The sequence below is a fragment of the Homo sapiens genome, chromosome 6 (genome assembly GCF_000001405.40).
Source record: "Homo sapiens chromosome 6, GRCh38.p14 Primary Assembly".
NCBI lineage: Eukaryota > Metazoa > Chordata > Mammalia > Primates > Hominidae > Homo > Homo sapiens.
Window position 1 is genome coordinate 3487297 of NC_000006.12, and position 9578 is coordinate 3496874.

The window sequence follows — 9578 nt, forward strand, 5'->3', positions numbered from 1 at the left end:
CGAGTACTGTCCTGATGCTCTGTACAGCAAGGCTTTCCACATCCCCCATCAGCTGTCCCTGCCCCAGCCAGTTGACTCGGTTTGTCAGAAGTCTCAACACATGCCCTCCGTCCAAGTAGGCCAGCTTCCTTGTGGTCCCCTAAGACACCATGCTCTTTCTCACCTCTGTACCTTTGCTCCCACAATCACCCACACAATGACGCTTCCCTCTTTCTGTACTCTGTCCGCTCAAGTCCCAACCCCACCTTGTCCATCTACTCCTGTACCCAGTCCTCTTCTTGGCCCTCGACTGCTGTACCTTCAGCATCCACATCAAAACACAATGAAGCACCTGGCCACTATCCTCAGCATTACTCTTGCCACCCCATAAAAGGAGGACGCTGCTTCCCTGTACAGACCGTTTTGTGTTTCTTTTGTGTCTCCTGCAGTAGCACCTAGCACAATCTTAAACTCCCAGTAGATATTCAACAGCTACTAGTTGATTGATGTGAATAGATTTCAATTTAGGCAGCTGGGCTGAGCAAAAGTCACAGTACTAATCAGTTTCCAACATGTCAGCTGTGCTCTTTTAAATCTATTTGGGGTGTGTAGTCCTGGTCTGAGATTCCTGACAGTGGCTAAGAGGTTCTGGGTCTCCACATTTGGAAAAAGGCAGCTTTCAGGGTCATTTGAGGGCAAGGCTGGGAGTGTGGCGAGCTGGGTGCAGGACTGCATGGGAAGCAGTAGAAAAGTGTGAGACAGAGGCGGTGTCGACAACAAGGACTCTGCAGGCATCTTCTGAAGAAATAGTGCTCTGTGGAAAGGCAGCTTGGATTCCTGGCTCTGAACTCGGGGGTGAGCAGGGAGATAGAAGGCTGGGCTGCTGCAGCTCAGACTGTCTCCAAGGGAAAAGAGTAAAGGTCAGGGCCAAAGACCACCCTACTCCTTGCCGCTCATGGCCACCACCTCTCACGGTTCCCACCCTCCCTCCTGCTAACGCTGCACCAATCTGGGTGAATGAAATAATCTGAAAAATCAGAGAGCTTGCCTCTGGCTAGTGAGAGCTTGACTTTCCACTTCTCCATGGGCCGATGCTCATTTATCAAATACTCACCGAGCCCCTGTGTGTGCAGGCACTCTGCAGGGCACTGGGACTGCAGGGAGCAAACCATGCAAACAGACTCCATCATGTCTGTGATGGCCGATGTGCCCGGCATCATGCTGGACACCGGAGACTCCTCAATGGAGATAGCACAGGCTTCCCAAGAAGGGACTATGGTCAGGAAGAAAGAGTTGCATGCAGGCATTTACAATATCAGGGTGGCACTCACACTGAAGAGTATTTAGAACTTGATGCTCATATGTCATATGTTTGGACAAAAATAAAATAAAACTCTTTAACAGGGGAATATTTTTGTAAATGTTTAAATTTTTTTTTTTGAAACAGAGTCTTGCTCTGTTGCCCAGGCTGTTGTAGAATGGTGTGATCTCATTTCACTGCAACCTCCACTTCCCTGGTTCAAGCGATTCTCCTGCCTAAGCCTCCCAAGTAGCTGGGACTGCAGGTGCACACCACCACGCCCAGCTAATTTTTGTATTTTTGGTAGAGATGGGGTTTCACCATGTTGGCCAGGCTGGTCTCGAACTCCTGACCTCAGGTGATCCACCCGCCTCAGCCTCCTAAAGTGCTGGGATTACAGGCATGAGCCACCATGCCTGGCTTGTTTTTATTTTATTTTTTCATATTTTATATGATGTTTAAAAAACCTTCTTCATGGTGTCATTGAAATGACTTTCTCCTATTTTACCCAATCTCAGCTTCCTGCTCTCACGGCCAACACTGGAGGCCACATATGCGAATTGTCTCATAAGCATATTTCATGATTTCCAAGCACTTAGTCTTGGAGGTGTCCCTACTGAGTCACAGTCCCCAGAGGACTGGTCTCAGAAGGCCCCTCCCATCCAGACACCCTCATTCTGCTAAGGCATTGTCAACAACTGAGAGACTCTTTCCTGTCCCTTGACAATTACAGGTGTTGCATAGGGTGAGAGCTTTTTCTCACCTTGAGAAGTGCTCAACGCATTCTTGGAAAATAAGGATTTAATACATTGCTCTGTTCTAAATAAGACTCTAGCCCATTCTCACTCCCCACCCCATACTTTCTGGCAAGGATGATCTTACAAAGCACTAAAATGACCTCATTCTGTTGTTATTTGCAGAACAAAAGACTTGTCTGTCCATAGATATTTTCCCACCATTGAAACTGGTGGTTGAAATTCCCACAATAAGGGTCACTGGGTAATAGGTGTTCCCGCTAAAATGTAAATCCATGAACTGTGGGAAGGATCCCTGAAAGCAGTCGTCGAATCCCCTGGGGAGCTTCTAAAAATGCTAAATCAGGATCTTTGGGAGGTAACCATGATGACTTTTTTCAAGCTCTCAGGGTAGTTCCAATGAGCTGCGAAGTTGAGAACAGCTGCCTTAAGCTCACAGAATCCAAGGAGCTGCTGAGAACAGTTCAATCCTTCAGGTCCACAAGTCCTGTTCAAGGGGGCAGTAGGGGCCCCAGGAGAGGTCCTGCTCCCTCACTAGTCCCAGTGGGATTCATGGACCAGCAGCACCAGCATCAGCATCCTCTGGACACTTGTTTTAGAAATAAAGACTCCTCGAGCCCACCCCAGAACAAAGAAATCAGAATCTGCATGTGCTAAGGTTTGAAAGAGACATTCCAGATGATGTCTTTCAGGGTCTGCCGTGGGTGTCTGCTGGTGGCTCGCTGTTATAGGTCCAATTGTGTCCCTCAGAATGTACATACTGAAGTCCTAACCCCCAGTACTTCAGAGTCTGACCTTATTTGGAGACAGGGTCTTTACAGAGGTAATCAGGTTAAAGTGACGTCATTAGGGTAAGCCCTGATCCAGTACGACTGGTGTCCTTATAAAAAGGGGAAATTTGGTTTTTAAATATTTTATGCTTTTAATTGACAAATAATAATTGAACATATTCACGGGGTCGGGGGTACACAGTGATGTTTCAATACATATAGTGCATAGCAGGGATCCCCAACCCCCAGGCCACGGACTGCTACTGGTCCATGGCCCGTTAGGAACCAGGCTGTAAGGGGTGAGCAGCCTGTGGGTGAGCAAGTGAGGCTTCATCTGTATTGACAGCCACGCCCCATCTTTTGCATTACTGCCTGAGCTCTGCCTCCTGCCAGATCAGCAGTAGCATCAGATTCTCGAAGGAGCATGAACCCTGTTGTGAACTGTGCATGCGAGTTACTTATGATAATCTAATGCCTGATGATCCGTCACTGTCTCCCATCAATCTAGTTGCAGGAAAACAAGCTCAGGGCTCCCACTGTTTCTACATTATGGTGAGTTGTATAATTATTTCATTATATGTCATCACAATGTAATAATAGTAGAAATAAAGTGCACAATAAATGGAATGTACTTGAATCATCCTGAAGCCATCCACCACCACCCCATCCATGGAAAAAATGTCTTCCATGAAACCAGTCCCTGCTGCCAAAAAGATTGGGGAACTGTGGTGTATAGTCATCAGATCAGGGTAATCAGCATATCTGTCAGCTCAAACATGTATTATTTCTTTGTGTTGGGAATGTTCGCTATTCTCCTTCTAGCTGTTTGAAAGTACAGAGCATTGTTAGCGATAGTCACCCTATAGTACTATGGGACAAAAGAACTTATTCCTCCTATCTAGCTGTGATTTTGAATCCTTTAATAAATCTCTCCCTAATCCTCTTTTCCCCATTCTTCTCAGCCCTGAGTATCCTTTGTTCTACTTTTTACATCTATGCGATCAACCTTTTTAAAGCTTCCATACATGAGTATGAACACGCCATGTAAAAAGGGGAAATTTGGATGCAGAGACACACGTGTAGGGAGAGTGCCATGTGGACATGAAGATGGCCACCCGCAAGCCAAGGACGGAGGCCTGGAATAGAGTCTTCCCTTGTGGGTCTCAGAAGGCATCAACTCCACCAATGCCTTCATCTTGAACTTTTTTCTCTAGAACAGCGAGACAATAATCTCTGGTGTTGAAGCTACCAGTTTGTGGTAGCTCCTGGCAGTCCCAGGAAATGAATATACTCACACTGTCTCTTCTCTATTTTACTGCCAAACTTCCTGAGAAAGGGCCAGAAGGAGCCCATCGGCCACTGTCATCCCTGATCTGCAGAGTCACTGGCAGGAGCCTATTGATGGGCTTTGCTAGGGTCAGGAGCCCAGAGGGAATTCCTCTGGCTGTGGGCAGGGTGGCGGTTGGTCACATGGCCAGCTCTCTTTGGAAGGAGGGAGAGTTTCTTCTCACAGAGGACCTCTCACCCCGAACCCAAGACTTGAGAACCCACCATGGCCAGTACACAGTATAGGGTACTGTAGGGACTACATTTGATTAAATTGTCTGTCCTGTAGACATTTGCAGACTGACTGGTGAAGGGAAAATCTTGATAACCTGATAGGTGGAGCATTCTGGGGCCATCTACCTCTCTTGTGGTATCAGCTTATAGTCCAATCTCTTCATCCCGCTAAAGATCCAGCCTTCTCTGCCCCACACCCAACTTCTTTCAAGAGCTTAATGAACCATCCATCTTTTGCTGAAGGCTGGGAGATGGAGGAAAGGGCTGCATTGCCTTACAGAGGAAACCTATGCCAACACGCCCTCCAAACTCCTCTTTCTCTTTCTCTGCAGAAATCATCCAAACCCTCTTCTTCATCTTCAGGGCCTCCATTTTATCATCCTCTCGACACCTCTTCTCACAAATTTGGCAGCTGGCCTGTGGGTCATCAAACGGAAGCCAACTGAACGGCACTGTCAGGGAGGTCCAGCCTGAGACCCCTGGAGCACCGCTGCCACTGAACAAGTTGGGTTTATCACGAGTTGCAGTGTGGGAGGACGCCCACCATGGGAGACATGGGGTGTCTCCATAGGAGGGTGTTAGGAAGGTTCCATGATAGGATTTGAGATTTGGTTGGATGATTTGGGGAGGCTGTCAAGAAGTGGAGGTCGGCTCTAGATTAGATACTGTCAGAAAGATGGGCAAGTCTGTGATTGGGTGTCTCAACAACTCTCTATAAGGAAGGGAGATGAGAACAAGACAGAGCTGTCATCAGCAAAGTGGTAGTCATTCATTTTAGCCAAAAGAAGGGCTTTAGGGGGATATTTTTGTGGGTGGCATGGTGACCTTGATTTTGGTCTATGCTTATGCCGTCACCTTGCCTCATTGTGTCATGGTTGCAGACTGGCATCTGAGATTGATATTCTGTGCTGCGGTGTATGCCCAGCTGTGAGTATCAGGCCAGTCTCTGGATGTCAGGGGTTGCAATTTGTTCATTTTCCCTGCACCACATTAAAGAAAAACCAATTCATTCAGCCAATTTCATTCACCCATTATTTTTCATGCACAGCTCTAAGCTGCAGTGAGGGGGTCTCAGTTTATCTCATGCATCCCCTGTATCAGGTGAGGGCATACAATAGGAGCTTTATAATGAAAGAGCAGGATGGATACCCATGCATTGGTTCAGCCAGCATACCTTTACCAAGGCCTCCTAAGAGCCAGGCTACCCTGGGCGTGAGCAGTTCCTGGATGAACACTACTCCATCCCTAAGATGCCAAGCTGTTTGCTACAAGTATTTGGGGTGTCGGGGTGAAGGGGTTGTATTTGTGTGTGTCTCTGTGTCTGAATCTTCTCTTATAAGGATATCAGTCTGACTGGATAAAGGTTCATCCTAATGACTTTTTTTTTGACATGAAGTCTCGCTCTGTCACCTGGGCTGGAGTTCAGTGGCATGATCTCAGCTAACTGCAACCTCCATCTCCCAGGTCCAAGCAATTCTTGTGCTCCCAAGTAGTTGGGACTACAGGCATGCACCACTACTCCTGGCTAATATTTGTATTTTTAGTAGAGACGGGGTTTTGCTATGTTGGTCAGGCTGGTCTTGAACTCCTGACCTCAAGTGATCCACCCACCTTGGCCTCCCAAAGTGTTGGGATTACAGGTGTGAGCCACTGTGCCTGGCCGAACTAATTTAATTACCCCTTGGGGTTAGGGCTTCAACACATGAATTTGGGGTGTGGAGTACAGCTTCATATCATAGATGGAGTCATACAGGAGGAGGTAAGAGTACTTTAAGGTGTCCCAGGGATAAGGTAGAGATGGGTAGGGTGCTCTGCAGGCTGCAAGGACGGAGGAGCAGGCATTGCCAAATGAGAACACAGGTCTCAGAGTTTTTGGAGGGGCAGTGATGGGCCAAGTCATCACAGATGAGTGATGACTCTCGTGGGCACAGGGGTTGGGGGAGGGCTGTGGAGAGGTGTCCTAACCACGAGAAGGGGAAATAGGTGTGTGGAGGGAAGTACAGGCGGGGCAGCTGGTGCCTCTTGTTCCCTGTAAAATTTGGGGAAGTTAACGGAACTCTGGGCTCTCCACACCCAGGTACTGCTTACCCTGTAGGAACTGCCTGTCATCCTGAGCTTTCTAAGAACGTGCCCTCCCGGCTGGGCATGGTGGCTCATGCCTGTAATCCCAGCATTTTGGGAGGCCAAGGTGGGCAGATCATGAGGTCAGGAGTTCAAGACCAGCCTGGCCAACATGGTGAAACTCCATCTGTACTAAAAATACAAAAACTAGCTGGGCATGGTGGTGCATGCCTGCAATTCCAGCTACTCGGGAGACTGAGGCAGGAGAACTGCTTGAATTGAGACCCGGGAAGCGGAGGTTGCAGTGAGCCGAGATGGCACCACTGTACTCCAGCCTGGGCTACAGAGTGAATCTTTGTCTCAAAAAAAAAAAAAAAAAAAAAAAGAAGAAGAAGAACGTGCCCTCCTGAAACTATGGAAGAAAATAAAATGTTGGTTATTCTGGGAGGATTGTGACAAACAGGCACTGAGAACTGGTTTGGCAGCTGGCCCAGGAGTGTGCCCACTCTGGATGGACCCTCTGGGGGTGTTCTGGTCTTGGCTGTTTTTATGTTTACCTCTCCACCCCCAGCCCCTTTCACAGGCTCAGATCTCAGCTCCATCCCATGCCAACTGGCTAACTGAGCAGGCGACTTCCTAAGCTCAATTTCCTCATCTGGAAAATGGGACCATGCCACCTGCTCCCAAGGGCTGCCCTAAGGAATATGTGAGGGGCTTTCGCAGCAGCTGGCTCAGCCCTCTTTCTTTTCCTTCCTCCATGATTGTGGGGGAGGCAAGGAACACACCTGAAAGAGACAAGGGACACTCAGAAGCAATCCATGCACAATCAGCTCTGCGGTACTCTTCAAGATGTGCTGACTCAGAAGCTTGTTACAGCCCAGAACATTCAAAGGGCCTCCAGTAAGCTAGAGAAGTCATTTCGTGTTTACTATAAAAAGGAACCTTGAAAGTCAGCCAGTCAACCCTCCTATTTTATGGATGAGGAAACTGAGGCCCAGGTATGCTTTGACTTGTCTCAGTCACTCAGCAAATAATTTACAGAGCTGAGAGGAGAATGCGGGTTCACATAAAAGACATTCAAACGAACAGGTTTGCTCACTCAGGGCCAGAAAGGAATCATAGAACAAACAACAAACATGTTAAAAATTTATAGATATTAGCTAATGTTTGTACATGGTCTTTACCATGTGACAGGCATTTATTCTAAGTGCTTTATCCCTATTAAGTCAGTCAGTTCTCTTTACAATCTATGAAGTAGGCAGTACTATGAAGTGCTCGCATTATTTCCCTTCTAAAGATGAGGCACCAATAAGTAATTGCCCAGGGTCACGGAGTTAGTGAGTTGTGGAGCAAGGGTTTAGATAGAGGTGGTCTTTCAGAATCTATGTTCGTCACCATTATGGTTTACTGCCTTGTAACCAGTGTAGCCAGTGGTTCTCAAAGAGTGGTCCCCAGACCAGCAGCCCTCACATCCCCTGGTGCTATGGTTTGAATAACAGTGTCCCCTGCAGAATGCATGTTGAAACTTAATCCCTAATGCAACAGTATTAAGATGTATGGCCTTTGGGAGTGATTAAGTCATGAGGGCTCCACTTTCATGAATGGGATTAGCACCCTCATAAGAGGGCTCTAGGTTAAAGAGAACTCTTGCTTGCTCTTCTGCCTTCTGCCATGTGAGAACACGGTGTACCTTCCTTTCAGAGGCTGCAGCAAGAAAACACCATCTTGGAAGGAAAGAGCTGCCCTCACCAGACACTAGTCCTGCTGGTGCCTTGGTGTTGGACTTCCCAGCCTCTGGAACCATGAGAAATAAATTTTTATTGTTTATAAATTACCCAGTCTGGGCTGGGAGTGGTGGCTCATGCCTGCAATTCCAGCACTTTGGGAGGCTGAGGCAGGTGGATCACCTGAGGTCACGAGTTCAAGACCAGTCTGACCAACATGAAGAAACCCCATCTCACTAAAAATACAAAATTAGCCGGGTGTGGTGGTACATGCCTGTAATCCCAGCTACTCGGGAGGCGGAAGCAGGAGAATCACTTGAACCTGGGAGGCAGAGGTTGCAGTGAGCCGAGATCGCGCCATTGCAGTCCAGCCTGGGCAACAAGAGCGAAACTCTGTTTCTAAATAAATAAATAAATAACCCAGTCTGTGGTATTTTGTTGCGGTAGCACACATGAACTAAAACACCTGGGAAGTTGTTAGAAATGCATTATTGGGCTGACTCAGACCTAACGGAGTGGGGCCCAGGGCTGTGTCCCCCAGGTGATTCTGATGGATGCCCAAGGTTGAGAACCACCACCTTCAGTGTTTGCCTTTCTTTCCCTCCAACCCTCAGAGAACTTTTGCTGGAAGTGGAGAAAAAGGTTAGGAAGATCCACTAGTGAAACTGGAAGTTTCCTGGAGGACACACTTGGACCACTGCTTTTGCATTTTAATGAGTATAAGAAATGATCTAAGCTGGGAAGGTGCCATATCGGTATTTCATCCATTTCTTTCTGCAGAAGTAAATTTGGGGCTTATTTATACTTTTCCTTTCCCCCCCTTGTCTAAGTACCTAGCACAGAATGGAGCATTGATAATCAATAAGCTTTTATGCGGCCCCTCAATGACTTGTGTTCCACACAAAGCTAGCCTGAATGCAATAGGTCACTGAGGGGTACAGGCTTTCTGGATGGAGACTGCAGTTTGTGCCATGATGAGCTAGTGAAACACTCAAAGCTTGGCCTGCTTTAATGCTATTTTCCTGTCCTTCTCACCCCCTGCCTTTCTCTCTCTATTCCTTCTCTCCCTCCCTAACTCACTTATTTTTCTTTCTCTTTCTGACTTTCTTTCTTTCTTTTCTTTCTTTCCCTCCCTCCTTCTTTCTCATTCTTTCTTTTTCTTTCTTTCTCTCTTCTTTCTCTTTCTCTCTTTCTTTCTCCTTCCTTCCTTCCTTCCTAACATTCCAGCTTCATTATTACCATTATTTTTGAGATGATTAAAAGAAGACACTTGACACTAATTTGGGGAATTAATCTCAAGAGCAGAGATAAAAACTTGAATCACGAAAAACAAAAGCAAAAACCCCCAAACCTGGAAAGAAAGAAAGAAGAGATCATGTGCTAACTAGTTGGCTTATCAAACATTTGACTCTTTTTTTCATCTTGACAG

The 9578-nt window shown here is 47.0% G+C and overlaps 1 annotated feature.

Annotated features, from left to right (window-relative positions):
• Window positions 2521-3020: an enhancer, noted in NCBI's record as "H3K27ac hESC enhancer chr6:3490051-3490550 (GRCh37/hg19 assembly coordinates)". NCBI's record gives its function as "activates a minimal SCP1, AML or CMV promoter by ChIP-STARR-seq in primed H9 embryonic stem cells {active_cell/tissue: H9 hESC(primed)}" and the evidence as "EXISTENCE:reporter gene assay evidence [ECO:0000049][PMID:30033119]".